Raw genomic sequence first — 18,970 nt, forward strand, 5'->3', positions numbered from 1 at the left:
AAATAAGGACAATAGAGTCCCAGTTCCTCCTGGAGAACTTGGAAAACATAAAAAAAAACACAAAATACAAAATGGAGAAGGCAACCTCAAAATAGCGGGGCCTTCCTATCTCTGATACTGTTATGTGGATCTGACACTACGCTGTCAACATATGTTTCCTAGACGTCGTTTGAAATGGCTCAATGGAAACTAATGAGATGAATGAATCTCATGTTTTCCTCTGTCTTAAAAATACGCCTGCTCTCAGCAATGGGGTTTTCAAGACCAAGAGATGACTTTAAGTAATTTCGAACAATTTTGTCTTATGTAATCCAAAATACACATACTTGCAAATATGAGTTAAGCTCATTTTATATGTAAAAATTCCCATAGCTGAATCAAAACATGACCTCTTTCATTCTTCTTTCCAGTGTCTGGTACAACCAACTAAAAATTCTCCCTACCTTTGCAAACCAACCATGTTCTCATGGGAGGGCATCTTGAGTGAGCCAAGGAACCCTCTATCTAAGTCCTGAGAATTCACTAGTAACAGCAAGCTCTTGTTAGATGTCACTCTTTTTGAGGGAAAAGAAAGTGACCTTCAGGCATTGGGGATCCCAGTCTCGAGGAATTCCTACTGGTGGAAGAGACTCAGTGTGCCCAAATAGGAAGCTTTGGATTTGGCATAACCAGAGCTTTTCTGCATGAACTTTTATCACTTACTCCTTTTGTGGGAACAGTCTTAACAGTCTGCTCCGCCTGTTAGCAACTTATTTAGTTCCTAAGCCACAATGTGGCACTTAATGCGCTTGGCTCCCTTTTGCATTACTACAATTAGTTGTAGGTTTGACTGTCTCTTCCAGACTGTAAACACCTTGAGGGCAGAGCCTGGGTATATGAGGTTTCTCTATCTTACTCAGTCTGTAGAACTGGACTGGATTAGCCTTGGATAAGCAGCACAGACAGAGGCTGTCAAGAGAATAGGCTCCAACTCCTAGAGAGTGAAATCCCTTAAAAGAAAGCAAGAAAGTGAGGAAGTGGAGGAAGAAGAGAAAAAAGACAGGGAGGAATAAAAATCATTTGTTGCACTCTGTGGCTTTTTCTACAAGGAATCCTATGAATATGGCCATCTCATCATCTTGTTTATTTCTTTATTAAACTTAACACATCTATAACTGTATTAGTAACCCATTTATCAGTTTCCTGCATTAGATAGTGGGTTCTATAAGGGTGGGAATTTTGTCCCAGCCCAGTAGATTCTGAAAGGGTGTTTGTTGAATGGGACAGACTCAAAGATGTTTGAATGCATGAATGAATTAGCTCTAAAACTTCTCTTCCCAGCTGAATGGGGCCCTTCTTGCAAGGCCTCTCTGAAGAGCCTGGCTAAGAGTAAGGAGTGCTCAGGGTCACATGATTCTGATGGCCAAACCTACCAAAACCCTCCTTACCTGAGCACGATCCTCAGGGACAGTGACTTCCCCAGACCTTGTGTGTTATAAACCCAGATCACAGTGAGGAGAGAGAACCAGATGACAGCTGACAACCCTTCTGGAAATTTAACGTGAAATATAAATAATAGAAACTCCAACCTGCCACTGCCCAGAGGCTCAAGTATCCGTAGTCAGAGTCAACAATGCTGCCTTGCAGAAATATGTGTCCAGTTTTTATCTTTCTAGAAACAGCCAAGGAGTACAGTTCCTCTGGACCTAGGGTGATAACAATTGAAATAGAGGCTAAAGACATTATCTATTCCTTGACACCGGAAACATGTCACAAGTGAACAATTTTCAGAACTGGCTTTGGTAGCATGTTGGAAAAAGTTTGTCCCCACTGCAGTTTCTGTTTTAGTTCTTGGCATTTTCCATGTATCCAATTAGCCTTCCCTTCAAAGCAAAATTTAAACAACAACTACAAAAACCAACACAAAACCCTCACCATTCACTTTTTCTGTGTCTGGATATTTCTCATTTCAAAAGGATCCTTAGCTGGAAAAGAGGAAAGGTCCGTACATGGTTTGTCATGTTGTTACAGAGAGGCAATGTGATGACCGGAACGACACAGGTCATGAATTCCAGTTACCCCACATAGTAATCTATCCATTCATTGAAAAAGGTCTTATGCAGCCCAACTAGGTGATGGGCCTGAGCTGGGCCTGGGGAATCATTTGTTTTTTCTTAGGCGAGATGTTGTGCTAGCTTCTGATGATGCAAGCACCATGGTCGAATGTGTTTAGTGGGAGAAACTGGCATTTACCAAATACTCAATTTGGTTTATAGCTGTAGACAAGGATGCTGAAGCAAAGAAACCAGTTGTTATGGGTGCATGTAACCTGGCTGCTTGCTATGTGTGTTATGTGGAAGGAGGTAGACATGGGGATGAGAGTAAGCACAGCATCCGGGCAGGGGGAATTGCATGTGCAAAGGCGGGGAGCATGGGAGCATGGCCTGACTGTGGAATGAAAGGAGGCTGATTCAGCTGCGTACAGCGCAAAGGCGGGGAGCATGGGAGCATGGCCTGACTGTGGAATGAAAGGAGGCTGATTCAGCTGCGTACAGCGAGGTGAGAAATGGGGCATCGCGTTCTGCTGGAGAAGTAGGCAGGGCCAACACCGGTAGAGCCTTCGGTCAAATGTCAAGAGTTGGTCTTCCTCCTTAAAGGTAGCTGGAGATTGTGCAGTACTGGGCTTGCAGCATAGCACAGAACACAGAAACTTGAACCATTAACCAGAACAAAGTATGCTGTCATGGAAGAATGGACCAGGGATCTGGGAGGGCACTTCAAAGGCCCTAAATAGCCAATCCTGTGATGTGGTCCTGAGCAACTTCACCAAAATCCTACACCTCCGAGAAGGTTATGGGGTGATATGTGATCTCATGGTAGCATCCTTATCTACTACCTTTTTTCCCCGTCGTCCTTTCACAGTCATTTGAGAGGAACACGTTCATGTTTCCTGGGAATCATTTTGTCTTCACCTGCAGCTTGTACCTTTGTTACGCCCTACCTTTTATCTCTAGAGTCAACTGTGTCTTGAAGTTTCTGGTCATGTACATTCCAGCTCTCCTAAAATAATGAGGGGCCAAGGGCTGAAGCACCTCACTGTCAGGGGGTACAAACACTCAAAGGAAATGGCTACTTATTTAGAAGTTCTTGGTTTGAGTGGCATCTCAGCTAGAAACACTATTAACCTCTGGAAATCTAACCAAAAACCTATTTATTTACACATGGGCTGTTTTGCTTTGTTTTGTTTTGCTAGTATATGAGTATGCGTGTCTGCCCTTTGCTGTAACCTTCTGAGCAGAGGTTGTGAGGCAGTTAAGACTTGGAGCTTAGAAAGTTGGATTCTTTAAAAGTAAAATAGTAATAGCAATAATAATAAAGACCTGGTCAACCTGCCCCACCCCAATAACAGGGTTGTCTACATGATTATGAGTGGGTACATTTTGATTTTTCAAGCTTGCTGCAAATGGGCCTGAATTGGACTCGATTTCCCATCGTAATTGCTTTCTGCATGAAGAGGTCTTTTCCAGAACTGTCTGCGACCGCTGTTTTAATGGGAAGCTTGTCTATTTATATGTTAATAATTTCCTCCAACTTATTGGGCTTGTTGATGCAAAAGCCCAAATCAGATGCTTTCCAATTTTCAAGGTTTACTATTAATCTCAGATTTTTTTGCACCAACGGAAAGCTGTTTCAACCTCCTCTGCTCTAAACCCTCTTGATGAAAGCATGATGAATGACAACAGGCTTCTTTTCATGAAACATGGTTGTGCCGATATACATTTAACTTACAGCTCAGTGGAACCTCAGTGCAGGTAGCTCCACAGGTGATTTTCACAGGTTGCTTCACAGGTGAATTTGCTAGGGAGAATGCCATCACGGATGAATGCCTTCACTCAGCTGCTGAGCTACCCGGGCTTTGCTGAGAAAGATCTCCTGTATCATGTGAATGGGCCTGGGCTTGTGGGATGTGACGCTGCAGCAAAGGAATCCAGGAGAGGAAACCAAGGACTCAGCACTAGAAACGGAACAGGCCAGCTTTGAAATCCAGACTCTACAAGCAAGTAACAGTGTAGCACCCCACAGCCACAGCCTCTCTGATTTTCAGTTTCCTCATTGCTTAAAAAAAATGACAGCAATCATTCTCTCATATTGTTTATCTCTTACGTATTGTGGGGTTTAATTATATAGTGTCCATGAAGATACTTAAATGTCTGGTTAATGAAAACCCTCCGATACATCACTGTTAAAGCTCAGACACTCTGAATCTAGTCTTCATAATTCACACATCCATTGCTTGATCCATAGGGCAGGGATTTTCATCCTTTTTGTTTTCTGTTGCTTCTCCCCAGTGCCTAGGACAAGTCCGTGAACGTAGTAGGTGCTTATTAAGTAGTTATGGACAAATTGCATAGCGAGTTCAGTCATCACAGGTTTATTGACCATCTGTGGTGTCCCAGCATCTTAGAAATGAAAATATGCTGTTCTTGTTCCTGAGAGCTCTTGACCTTTGAGGGATGACAGGTAGGTGGAGGTTGGCAGAGAACTGAGATATAAATAATAAGTAATGACAGTAGTGTGCAGTCTCTTAAAAGAATGGCCCAAGAAGCATCTAAATGAGAATGACCTGGAGCGTGTGTTAAAAACACAGATTCATTGGCCCCAGACAAGATTTATGGAATCAAAACACCTAGGTGATGGGCCCTGGGAATCTTCATTTTTAAGAAACATCTCAGACAACTCTAACTTTCATTTCTATTTGGAAACTTTTGCAGAGATGGGTGCTGAGAGTAGGGTTTGTGTCATTGCAAGTTGCTGCGGCAGCTGCAGGCAGGGTTAAGGGGAGTGAGAGGAGCCTCCCTCGAGGAACTAGGGCTTGAAGGATGGAGAAGAGACTTCCAGGTGAAGAAGGGTGTAAGGACTTCCTAGTACAGGGAAAGGCACAGACCCCAGACAGCACCGACCCCTCCAGAAAACGTGCGCAGAGGAGACCTGAACAATTGAGTGGAAACAAGGGGTGAGGATAATAAATTCAGATTATTAGCCGGGCGCGGTGGCTCACTCCTGTAATCCCAGCACTTTGGGAAGCTGAGACGGCAGGATCACGAGGTCAGGAGATCGAGACCATCCTGGCTAACACGTGAAACCCCGTCTCTACTAAAAATACAAAAAAAAATTAGCCGAGCGTGGTGGCGGGAGCTTGTAGTCCCAGCTACTCGGGAAGCGGAGGGAGGAGAATGGCGTGAACTCGGGAGGCGAAGTTCGCAGTGGGCCGAGATCGCGCCACTGCACTCCAGCTCGGGCGACAGAGTGAGACTCCGTCTCAAAAATTAATAATAATAAAATAAATAAAATAAAATAAATTCAGATTTTCTAAAGCAAATTTTGTGATCAAATAAATAACGTAACCAGATCTATGTTGAATAAGAGCAATCATGTGGATTAACTCAAATGTATGTACAAGGCTGAACTGACAGTATCGCAAAGGCATGCAAGGGAAGTGTGATCTGGTAAATGCCTCCGCTGAGCATACAGGGATCCCTTAACCGACCCCGTGAGCCTAAAGCGTTCTGGGAAATACGTGGATGCTTGCATTGAAGATGATCCCTAAGTCAATACAAAAGGAAACTGAGGCAGAAACATGGGAAGAAACCTGTGAATTCATAAGTAATTTCTTTGCAAAGGCAATATTTGCATTTTTAGTTTCCTTTCTATTCATACTTCCTCTGAATCCAATATTCTATTCTCTCCCTATCTTTTTTTTTTTTTTTTTTCTGAACAGGACCCCGGACTCAGCATCTGTCAAGTGTGGTTTTAGGGTGGGTGGACCTGAGAGGCAGGATTTGGGCAGGTGCACAAAAGGGTAAAAGTCCAGGGTTTGCCAGCCATAGACCTGGCCGAGTCCAAGGTCTAGAATCTAGAATCTCCCAACGTCCTCATTTTATTGTGTATTAAATGTGGATAATAAGAAATATCTCCCAGAGCTATTTCAAAGGTTGGCTGATGGAAAGTGTATAAAAAGTTTGGCATACAGTGGGTGCTTGGTGAAGGAGGGATAAATAGCGGGGATGGTGGCAGCGACAAAAATCGTTATTAACGTTCATTTCTTTCTTGCCCTGGGGAGCTGAGACCAGAAGCCTCCTTGATCACATTTTTGCTTAGAAGAGTTTTGGCTTGGAAATAACCCAAACTGGGAGGTTCACCCCAAAAGCTGTGTTCAGGGAGCAGCTCCCTTGGCTCACAGCTCCTGTGAAATGGCAGAGGCTTGTCATTCTAGTGACTCAGCTTCTGGCTTCTCCACGGAGTGGCCAGCTGGAAGCAGGTGTAGCTGCAACTTCTCCCCAGACCTGGCCTGGCTCTTGCAGCTCCAGCTTCAGCCCAGGGGAGGGGCCATCTCCTCCTACTGGGAAGTTCTCAGGGAGGAGGCCAGATCCGGCCTGCACTGAGTGGCAGCCTGGAGAACCTCATCTTGCTTGACTCATGGCAACCGGTGGAGCATGTCATGGGTGCACGGGCATTCAAGGGAAAGGGGGCCTGTTGTGACAAAACACTGCACCCATTGCTGAGTCACCTCCTGCAGGGCCCAGCCATCCTTGCCTCTCTTCTGCTCCCAACCTCCCCTCTGGACCCAACCGTGCCCATTTCTGAGAAGGCATTAGGCAACAGATAGCCCAGACACACTGGAGCAATAGCACCCCAGGAAGAGTTAAACAATGATCCCAGGCCTTAGGCAACTTCTTGGCTTAGAGCCCCTATCATACTTAAATGTTTGCTGTCTACAGACCCTTGAATGGAATTGGGATTGGGAATTGGGATGGGGGTGAAACATGACAAATAAGGTGGTCAACTTGTCTGATTTGCCCAGCACTATTCCACGTTTAACATAGATAGTCTGTGGTCCCAGGAAGACCCCCTCAACCCTGAGAAAACAGAGGCAAATTGGTCACCTTAAAGAAATTAGGGTACTAGAGAAGACAGGTGTCCTGGCCCCAGAGTTGCTGCTTGGAGAGTATACTCGGATGCCTATGATTTCTGTGTTTGAATACTGCCTGTGTGCCTGGCATGTCTGTATATTGTATGTCACAAGGACGACCATCCCAAGAGGCAGGTCCTATAATGATCCCCATTTTACCAATGAGTCGAGTGGGTCACGGATGGTGTGAGCAACTTTGTGAGGTCACAGGGGTGGGAATGCCAGGGTCAGCGTGTGAGTCTCAGCAGCCTGGCTCCAGACTGAGGTTGCCCATGCTCTCCTGTGTTGACTGCCTAGGTACACCACACACACACACACACACACACACACACACACACACACAGATACAGGCACACAGATACGCAGATACACAAACACACACAGACAGGAACAGACACACAAAGAGATACACACACGCAGATACACACACGGATAGATACACACAAATGCACACAAACATGAACACAGATACACACAGACAAATGCACACACAATGAAGCACACAAACACACATATTCAAACACACAGACACATACCACACACACAGACACACATAAGCACCTACACAGACATGCATCACACAAATTCACAGACACACACCACACACAAGGACACACAGACACACAAAGACGTACACAGACATATACACAAATATACCAAGACAACAAATATAAACACACACACACACAGACACATACACACTTAGGGCCTGCGTGGCACCATGTTGGCAGGAAGCCTCATTTCAAAAAAGCCTAGTTCAGCAGTCAAGAGTAATTGAAAAGAAACTGAGATCTTTGCTTCTGGTGCCTGGAGAAAACTGAAAGGGGCCCAGCCCATAAGTTCCCTTCCTCCAATGCCTCTCTCTCTCCTGACCCTGATTCACCCTGCAGCCCTTGGCTTTCCAAACTTGCAAATCTCTTTCCTTTCTCCTTTTCATCCCTCTCTTTTTTCTCTCTTTTCCTTTTACTTCTTTTTTACCCTGTCCCCTAGAATACCCTGGAAGGCAGCAGCCGTTCTTTCCTCTCTCTCAAAGTTTCTCCAGCTCCTTCTCTTGAGCCTATCTACTAGCCTGGCACAGGGCCCAGGAGTCAGGATCCAGGACCCAGAACCCAGGATCCAGGACCCAGACCCAGGACTCAGAATTCAGTACCCAGGACCCAGGACTCAGGATCCAAGACCCTGAACACCAGGACTCAGGATCCGACACCCTGGACCCAGGACTCAGAATTCAGGACCCAGGACCCAGTACTCAGCACCCAGGACCCAAGACCCAGGACCCAGGACTCAGAATTCAGGACCTAGGATCCAAGACTCAGGACTAAGGACCCAGGACCCAGGACCCAGGACTCAGGACCCAGGAACCAGAACCCCTTTGCTACAGCACCCTCCCCCACATAGCTGAAACCACAGACTGTCCTTGCTAGGACACCTGGAGCCTGGGAAATCCCTTCAGAGTCTGTATTTGCATTTCCATTTCAAACCCGCTTGCTCACTCTTGGTATTTGTGCTATTACATCTAGTGCCTGACTTTTTGCTAAATTCTTCAAAGGAATATTCAGCTCATTTTGGTTACTTAATGGTAAATTCTAGCTCCTTCTTGGGCCCGTGTTCTCCACCGTGAGTGCACCTTAGAACCAACAACGTGGGGATCTTTTGAAATGTATGGTAGTCCCAGGTTCATGTCACACTGGTTGACTCAAAGAGTCTTGGATCTGGGCTTCCTGGTGGGTGTGATACACAGTGATATCCATGGAGACTGCTGTACTCAAGCCAGAGAGCTGACACTCAACTCCAGGATCCCTGAGACCACTCGCTGGGAAATTAATTCAGTCATACCCACAGAATAGTGATATGCACAGCTGTAACTATGAGAGAAAAGACACACAGGGTGGGTTTGCTTGACATATATTTGCCGACCATCTCCTGTATGTCAGACACCATTCCAGGTGCTGGGATTACAAAGATTTGTACAACATATTCTTGGCCCTTATGTAGATGAGAGTCCAGGCAGGGAGGTGGGCATGTGAGCAACAGCAAGAACAAAACATGAGGATTTTGTGTGATGGTGATCTTGGTGGATCATGGGATCCCAAGACCATGGGAGAAGGCTGATGGGGCAAGTCAAGCGACGCCTCTGGAAGCAGAGGGTGCAGAAGGATGAACCAGGCATGCCGAGCCCTGCAGCCCCACCTTGGAGAAGTAGTGCTGATGTCTTCACCAGCGTGCTCCAACACCCATTCCTCGGGGTCAGCACCACATTAGCTGGAGATAGCTGCAGAACCCACAAGCAGTGCCTGAGACACACAGAACCCCTGCCTGCTGCAGGTCACAGACCCCTGCAATCATCACTGAGAAGTCCAGGGCATTATGGAATCTTAAAAGAAGAGGGTGAATAACAGACCTGAGGGGATCTCAGAGGACCTGAACCTTAAGGGGGAGGGGGCATGATTCAGATGGAGAACATACATAGAGTAGTCACATGCCACGCCAAGGGAGCTGAGCCACAAGGAAACCAAGACATGAGCAAGTACGCAGAGTCGGGCGCAGGGAGGGAACGTGGCATTGACATGTGAGGGAGGAACGCAGATGGCCCGGTGGCCTGGGTCCAAAGTGTGGAAAGGCCCAGTGAGGCCATCTCTGTTTGGGGGTCTTACTCCACTTCCTTTAGATGATGAGGAATTAAAGACAGTAAATGCTACTGTCTCCATTCCTGGAAAGTTAGCGAAAATGCAAATTTTAAATTATCTTGGAGATCGGGGAGCTTTCCAAACATTTTTAATGAAGAATGAAATCACAAAGCAATAGGAAAAAGTTCTTTTCTATGAAACCTTTACTAAATACCCGTTATGTGCTGAGTGCTGGGCCAAGCTCAGGTGAAGATAACAGGAGTTCAGGAGATGGGCCCTGTCTCTGGAGCCCCGACCCTCACAGGGAGGTGGATATTGATGGATGAATCAACATTTAATGACCTAAGGTAAAGGATGCTGGGTCTCCTGAGGAGGTATCCTGAGGAGGCTGTGGATAGAAGTGACTGAGGTTGTTCAGGCAGGGTCAGAAGGACAGAAGGAGCCAGGAGAATGGCTGGAAGGAAGGAAGGAAGGACGCTGCAGCTCAGATCTGAAGGTTGAGATGATGTGAGCCAGGTGAGGGGAGGGCACACGTGCTGTAGGCAAATGTGGGCTGGGTGCGACTTCCCAAGGCAGAGGGGCTGTGCCTCTTCTCCCAATCTCTCTGTCTCTCTGTCTGTTTCTCTCTCAATCTCTGTCTCTGTCTCTATCTCTTTCTATCTCTTTTTCTCTCTGTATGTCTGTCTCTGTCTCTGTGTGTGTCTCTCTTTCTTACTCTCCCCCATCTCTCTCTCATTCTTTTTTCTCTCTCAGTCTCTCTCTGTGTGTGTGCCCATCTCTCTGCATCTCTCTCTTTGTCTCTGTCTCTCCCTCCCTATTTTTATGTCCTCCTTTTTCCCCCTCTCCCTCTCTTTTTACAACTTTGTTATCTTGGAAAAAGTGAATATCCATATACAATTATAAGAAATAATACAGGAGGCCCTTATGCCTTTACCCACTTCTCCCCATTGTAACATCTTACATAACTGTCCTATAATATAACAACCAAGAAATTGACATTGATAAAATTCCCCCTCTCTTTAAAAAAAACAACACACACAAATAATAAAACCACCACTTTTTTATCAATAGCTCCAGCATCAAGGTAACTAGTTAACTATCCCTCAGATAAATCTGTCTCTCTGGGTAAGAGCAGGTATGCAGGTACATATATGTATGCATGTATGTATACAAGCATACATACATATATATATATCATTTGAAAAACACATTTAATTGTATCTAACTCAAATTTGGAATTATGAAATTATTAACTAACAAAAGTCTCTTCCCTTCTCTCTTTAAGGAAAAAAATAAAGTCTAGCTTCAGAGCATTAAAATGAATATTGAGTACCCCAAAGACATGAGTGTTTGGGAGGGAAATTGTAATAATTACGTTGAACAGCTTCATCAGTTTTGCGAAGAAAGGGGATAGGAATATTTTATCCTTTTTATTAAATTCCCATTTGGCACTGGAACAGTCATCATTTTATAACAATTCCATGTCATCCCTCTATTGTCTTTCTATGAGAGTCTCACCTCCCTCAGGATTTTTGGAAATAGATTTCAAGGAAATGGGAGTCAGTGCAATGCCTTGTCTTACATGCCAATATATTTTGCTCCTTGCTACAGGTTCAGATTCTAAGTAAAGATTTTGTCCTGTGATACAGTTAGCTCCATTCTTTTTTTCTGTCAGGATAAAAAAGATCGAAAAAGAGAAAGCAAAATGGAAAATGTGAATTAATACACAGGAAACTTACAGAAATATTTACAAGAACCAAATTCAGAGTGACTTTTCATAACACACAGGTGACGCACGCAGGCAATCTCACAATAGATGCAGTTACATGGTACCTACAAGGTGCTGACCATCAGGCTAGAACCTTCAAAAATAACTTGACAAACATCTACATCAAACGTAAAAATTACGAGGCTGGGTACGGTGACTCATGCCTGTAATCCCAGCACTTTGGAAGACTATGGCTGGATGATTGCTTGATCCCAGGAGTTTGAGACCAGCCTGGGCAACATAGTGAGACCCCTGTCTCTACAAAAAATAAAAAATTAGCTAGGCATGATAGCTGCTTGGGAGGCAGAGGTGGGAGGATCATTTGAGCCCGGGAGGTGGAGGCTGCAGTGAACTAGGATCGCACCACTGCATTCCAGCCTGGGAGACCGAGCGAGATCCTGTCTCAAAAAAAAATTACATAAATAAATATATATTTCCTTGTCCATTTTCCAGATGGAAAACCTGACTCTCTGAGGGATAGGGTGATTGGGCTAAAAGTCACACTGAGTAAGAGAAAGAACTAGGAATTCAAATGTGGGTCAGTACCGCTCAAAGTCCTGTGATTTTTCCACTCTATCACAATACTAGTTTTCAGTTGACTTTTTAGGTAACTTATGGCTGAGGACAAGAGAGAATGTATCACTTGATAATTTGAGCTACAGTCTGAGGCCTCAAGGTTGAAGTCAACTGATAAAGAGACTGATTTTGAACCAGAATGGGGACAGTTTGGTAACTTTTGATCCTTAGATGATATATGGATTCTTGTCCTTTCTCGGGTAGTACAAAGCCCTATGAAGTTTAACATAAAAATCTTAATTACAGATCCCCATGGGCTGTCCCGAATAGTTAGCACACATTCGGGCTCTAGGAGAACTGCCCTCCCAGACACGCCATTCTACTCACACTATGATTTGTTGAATCTGATGAGGGCGGCTGTCCCATGCTTTACCTGTATTGACTCAGTTGTTCCTTGCAACAGCCCTTTGAGGTGAGTCTTACAGTTAACCTGTTTAAAGATGGAAACAATGAGGCTCAGGATGGTGAAGAAACTGGCTCAGTGTCACTTTCATAGGAAGTGGCCCATCTGAAACTGGAATCTAGGTCAGATCTCAGGGCTAAAAGGAGTGAACTAATGAGGACTTTGAGATAATCATGGCAAAAGGCATCCCTAATACCTGCTTTTCTAAGATAAGGGGATAGATGGCTATCAACTAGCTCCCTTTTCTACCCTTTCAAAGGAATGCTAGGGTTAGACTTTACTTCATGTTTATCCCAAGGACATAAGGAGAAATATCCAATATCCCCAAAGATATACAGTCTAGAACCTCATTAGTCACAGATTTTGCACTTGCAAATACACCTATTTGCTAAAATTATTTGTAATCCCCAAATCAATACTGAAGGCACTCCTGTGGTCATCTGTGAACATGCACAGAACAGCAAAAAAATTTAGAGTCACCCAAGATGCAACACCTTTCCATCTAAGATGGCACGAGGCAACTTTCTGCTCTATATTGTAAACAATGTCCTTTGTGCAGTCAATTCATTGCCACTTTTTTCCCCCACATTTCTTGCTTTTTGCTGGTGATTTCACTGTTGAAAATCAGCTGGGCATGGTGGCTCACACCTGTAATCGCAGCACTTTGGTAAGCAGAGGTGGGCAGATTACCTGAGGTCGGGAGTTTGACACTAGCCTGATCAATATGGAGAAACCCCATCTCTATTAAAAATAAAAAATTATCCGGGCGTGGTGGTGCATGCCTGTAATCTCAGCTACTCCGGAAGCTGAGGCAGGAGAATTGCTTGAACCGAGGAGGTGGAGATTGTGGTGAGCCGAGATAGCACCATTGCACTCCAGCCTGGGCAACAAGAGTGAAACTCTATCAAAAAAAAAAAAAAAAAAAAAAGAAAGAAAGAAAGAAAAAGAAAAAGAGAAAAAGACAACGACCCCTAAGCACAGTGCTGAAGTGCTGTATGGTGCTTCTAAGCGCAGGATGGCTGTGATGTGCCTTAGGGAGAAAATATACCCGTGTTAGAGAAACTTCTTTCAGGCAAGAGTTAGAGTAATACTAGCCCAGAGTTCAATGTTAATGAACGAATAATATAAACTCAGTAAGGTGTCTAACCAGAAATACGTAAAATAAAGTTATGCATTGGTCAGTTGATGAAAATGTGATCAGAGGCTTGCAGGAAAAAAAAAAAAACCACATTTCCCCTAAGAGAATAATTCAGTATTCACTAATTCTGTGTTCAGGGTGACTTTATAAAACACAGCCACTGCAAATAATGAGAATCAACTGTATATACAAAAAAAAAAGATCAGTGCTACCATGTATGTAATAGGAAATAATTGAAAACAATTTTTAAATCTTATAGGACATTTAAATTATGAGTCAGCTATACAACAAAGTTATATGCAACCATGAAAATTAAGTTGTTAGAAGATTTGAAAATTATTATTAGGTAATGGCAGTTGGAGGAAGAGAAGCAGGGTATTCAGCCATGTAAATTGTATGGTTCAGCACTGACAAAACTGGCATTTGTCTCTAGACACACACACACACACACACACACACACACACACACACACACACCATACATTTGAAACACAGCTTGGAAGAAATGATAAGTGGTGATCATCTTTGAATAGTGTGCTTATGGTGTTTTGAAGTTTTTTCCTTATAATTTTAATATTATTAAGTTAATTATACTATGCGTATATATACTTTATAATCATAAATGCTTCAAACAGTTTCATCATTTGATAGTCATACTTTGTTGATAAATCGGCCTAGCCCTTTTGGAATATCCTATGATTAGATACATCAAGGGCCATAAAATTTTCATAATTGTTGACCTTGTGATTTCTATTTTAAGGGAATACATTTTTTACAACATTAAATGCATAAAGATGTTGATTATACTGTGTTTTATTCAAGAAACATATCTGAACCAAATTAGTGTACAACCGTAGTGGCATGATATCAAGAATATTGCAACATCAATGTGATGAGATATTATGTAGCTGTTATGTACCATGTATTTAAGAAATGGTTAATAAGCACTTACCACGGATTAAGGATATAACAGAGAGCTAAAAATGATACTTTAAAGAACTTCCGTTTCAGTGAAGAAACAGATATTAATCAAAGAATCACGCATAAAACGGTAAAAACGCAACTCTGATCATTGCTAAAAAGAAAATAGAAACATTCCTTTCATGATTAAAAAGGGAATACTGACCAAGTAAGGGAGTCAGGGTGTTCAGATAATTCCCCGAGAAACAGATGAGTCAGCAGAGATTTGTTGCTTATTATAACTCTGAAGATAGATGGATGAAAGATATATAAATAAAAGAATGCAAAATAATGCTTGTACTACAGTTACAATATGTAAATATGCACATGTAGACAGAGATGAAAAATAACTTGCAAAAAAGAAATAGACGGAGATGAAAAATAACTTGCAAAAAAGAAAAACTATAAATAAATCTATTAAGATGATAGGATAGCGGTGATTTTTTTGTTAAAATGATTTGTAATGTTCTTTATAAATATTTTAAATGCAGCCATTTCTTAGATCTTTTACTTGACCCAATTGTATTTTATATATTCAAAATTACAAATTTACATTCAAAATAATATTTTAGAAAGTCAAGCATGCTTTATGATATAATTGTTTAAATATAAATATTGTTTTTTAGAGATTCAAATTAATGCATGTTTACTATTACGGACATTGTTTAGGGTTAAAATACTCTTATGCCTTCCCAACTCTCAATTAAATGCTCATTCTTTTGTGTGTTTTTTTCTAACTTCTACTCACAGTTTTGTTTGCTTTATATATTGAAGATTGAAAATGCCTCAACACCACGACAAAGTTAAACCTGTTTCTATTCATTATTTCTTCATTAAAAAGATCAGTTGATTTTAATAAGTGGAGAATAGGTAGACATCAACACCACACTGCTGCTGAGATTGTCATAGGTTGATACGGCCAACACCTTGCCTAGGGAGTGCATTTTGGGGTCTGTGTCCAAGAGAGGAGGAAGATATGTCATCTCTGTTGTTCCCATTTAATCCTCAGTTTTAGACAAGTACCTAGTGTCTAGGATGTGATCAATAAACGTCTGTTGAATAAATAAGTGATTAAATAAATAAAACTAATTTTTATTGAGGACATCTTGCGTTGTGCTTGAATGCAGTGTTCCATAGTTAAACAGACAGTTTTTTAAAAAACAAACAAAAAAGTCCGAGGCTCAGTGATCTAAGCTAGTGCAGGCTATGAATGAAATAATTTTAAAGTAGGAAAGAAAACAGATGAATAAAAATAATAACAATAGTGAAATAAAAACATTTAATATGAAATCCACAAAGTAAAAAGAAACAGATGGAATTAATTTTAGCAATATTTTTTACTTACACCATTATATCCAAAATATTATTATTTCAACATGTAAACAATATTAAATAATTCTTAGTGAGCTCTTTTACCGTATTTTTTGTTTTGGATGAAGTCTTCAAAATCTGGTATGTTTGTGATACTAAAGCTATCTCCATTCCATCTAGCTGCCTTTCCATTGCCATGTGTGGCTGTTGGTCCCCTCTAGGATAGCACAGCTCTACATAAACCTTTTTATTTTAGATATCAGGACCCAGAGCCAAAGACGGTCAGGACTGGCCCATGGCCATGCCCCATGGAGATTGTTCTAAGCAGAGACCACGGCCCTGAGTTTTTATGCCTTGAGTTGAATAGTTTTCACGTATCTAGGGACTGTGTAGCATCAGGAGCACCAGTGCAGGCTCCTTGACTGTCCTGCCTGGGTTGCAATCTCGCGATTCTCTCTTACAGCGGTGCAGCCTTGGACAAGTTATTTACAACATGTTGGACTTAGTTTTCTCATAGTGAACCGAATCAAGTTATCCTGTGAAGGAAAATAAAACGAGATAACCAATATGCTGTGGGATAAATTGTGTCACCTGAAAAGATTCGGTGAAGTCCTAATCCCTAGTATCTCAGAGTTAAAGACCTTATTTGAAAATAGGGTTTGATGCAGATATAATTTGTCAAGATGAGGTCAAACTGAGACTGGGTGGACCCTTCATCCAATATGAATGATGCCCTTATTGCAAGAGGAGAAGAGAATCAGAGACAGACACACAGTGAGAACACCATGTAATGATGGAGATAGCGATTGGAGCGAAGCCACTGCAAGGTACAGGACACTCAAGATTGCCGGCTACCATCAGGAGCTAGGAGGAGACAAAGAAGGATGCTATGGACTCTCGGAGGGTGCATGGCCCTGCTGACACGTTGATTTCAGACTTGTATTCTCCAGAACTGTAGAGAATACATTTTTTTCTGGGTGGTTGTATGAAGCCTCTCAGTTTGTGGTAATTTTTTTTATAGCAGGCTTAGGAAACTGACACACCCATAAGTAAGATCACCAGATAAAGTAGAAAATTCCACCATAAATATGAATTGCAGACTAAAAAAACCCTCAAAATTGTTTAGCTTATATAAATATGCCCCATGAAGTATTTAGGACATACTACTTATACCTACTTGGTGTCCTTTATTCTTGTTTGCTAAATCTAGCTATCCTACTCCATAAACCACTTTGCATGGTATCAGCCACAGTTTTCAGAAACATTAGCTATTATTAGGATATCACTATAGCTTCACTGGAAGAGGCAATATAGAGATATATGTGTGTTGTGCATGAATAAATATATACCTTCTACAGACAGTCTACTTTTTTAGGTATTCACAAAGGAGTGTGCTAATATTCATTTTAGCACTGACTGAAATCAGAGCAAAATCAAAATTTGACAAATAAAAATGAAATGGAATTGCTGCATGATGAAGGCCCATAGAAAACCTCTCTGGTTTCACAAGGCTCAGAACATTCCAGTTTCACCACAACAGGACTGCTACACATGCGTGCCTGAATGCAGGGTGGGAGTGCAGGTCCGGGCAGGCCCGCTACCTGGAAATTCACTCTGTCCCAGCAGTCTGTTCCCTGCATAACTGCTAGTGTGTGCTGTTCCGAAAACTGCCAGTGGGCTCCTCCTGCTGAAGACACAGAGTGACTGTGACCAACTCTGAGTCAAGCAGATGTTGTCGACATCTAGGAGATGCGCCCATCATTCTTTAAGTGGCTTGAGGGGGGCCTGTTTCATTTTCAGCCCCGTCCTTCTCCATCACTTCCTGCCCCGAGCAGTGGGCTTCCTGCCATTCATCCATGAGATCCCTGTTCTTCCCAAAAGACTGTGCTGAGGCCTTCGGCTAATGTAATCTGAGCAGGCAAAGATAAACTGGGCTGAATATTTAATGATCCTGCTTGTTGGGAAGACCAGTTTCATGGCATGCTAAGTTCAGGAAGTTAATGAAAAGGAGACAAAAACCAAGACACGGATGTTTCTGGTGTGTGTGTCTCTGTGTGTGTGTGTGTGTGTGTTTGTGTGTGTGTAGGAGGAGGGTTACACATAACTATTTTATTTTATATATGCATAGTTCTTACTGGGACTTGATAAATCCTATGATTAATTGATACTTAGTTAACCCCACTGAAATTTACTGAGAATGTACTATCCACTCATGATGTAAATGCTGGCGATTCAGTGGTAAACAAGAAAGACAAGCCTCTGCCCTTTGTGGAGTTTACCTACCAATAAGAGGAAATCGATTACAAATAAGCAAACAAATAAACACCGTAAGTAATGTTTGTAATAATTACTGGGGAGGAAATAACTAGGATTCAGAGACTAATGGGAATAGAAGATGTACTTTAGGAAGGTGTCTCTAAAGTGGAGGCTTTAGCAAGAGACCCACATAACCAAGGGAAGCAAATGAAAGTCAAAAGGAGACTTTTCAGAAGGGAATAGGCTTGTATCCAGCAGTTCTCAGGAACCTCATTCTAGAAGCCTCTGGAAGAGCTGGAGTTTTATAAGAGAAGAGTATTAGCTCCAAGGCATCCATTGCATGCAATGAACAAAATTCAGTCTTCTGCATCTAGAATTCTAGAAGATTTCTAATTATTGGATGAATTTCTCTTGTCTGCATTGAGAATGGTTCTAGTTATGTCCCATCCTTAGAAGCATTGGGAAAAATCATCATTCAAATCATGTTCTGTATTCAGTGGTTCAAATAAGGGGCTCCAATTGAGAAAGTGTCTCAACTTCAGAGATTATGACAAGAATCCAGGTGATGAGGGCCTAGTCAATGGTGGAGAGAAGAAAAAAGCCAGAAATAAAAATGCATGTGACTTTAGATACTCCACCTGGTCCTCAGCTTCTTCATCTACAAAAGGATGTCATAACACCCCCCTTGGGAAGGCTTTTAGGTTTAAGAGACAACACACGCCAAATTGCTCAAATCGATGCCTAAGAGCAGTTGGCATGAAATAAATGTGCATTACTCTTCCCTTCTTCTTTTTTCTTCTTTTTGCACATGATTTACTTAACCCAAATCAGAATAAGGTACATCAGTCTAGCAGGCAACTGACTGCAGAAACCTTATATTCTTAGGTTTTCAAAGGGTTTCAATCATCTTTTGATCCAGAAAGTCATTTGAAGACATGAAACACACACACACACACACACACACATACACACACACCACACT

The 18,970-nt window shown here is 42.3% G+C and overlaps 2 annotated features.

Moving 5' to 3' along the window:
* Positions 6,361-6,470: an enhancer, noted in NCBI's record as "active region_11163". NCBI's record gives its function as "activates an Ori minimal core promoter by ATAC-STARR-seq in GM12878 lymphoblastoid cells {active_cell/tissue: GM12878}" and the evidence as "EXISTENCE:reporter gene assay evidence [ECO:0000049][PMID:35858748]".
* Positions 8,021-8,130: an enhancer, noted in NCBI's record as "active region_11164". NCBI's record gives its function as "activates an Ori minimal core promoter by ATAC-STARR-seq in GM12878 lymphoblastoid cells {active_cell/tissue: GM12878}" and the evidence as "EXISTENCE:reporter gene assay evidence [ECO:0000049][PMID:35858748]".

This window comes from Homo sapiens, chromosome 16 (genome assembly GCF_000001405.40).
Source record: "Homo sapiens chromosome 16, GRCh38.p14 Primary Assembly".
Taxonomy (NCBI): domain Eukaryota; kingdom Metazoa; phylum Chordata; class Mammalia; order Primates; family Hominidae; genus Homo; species Homo sapiens.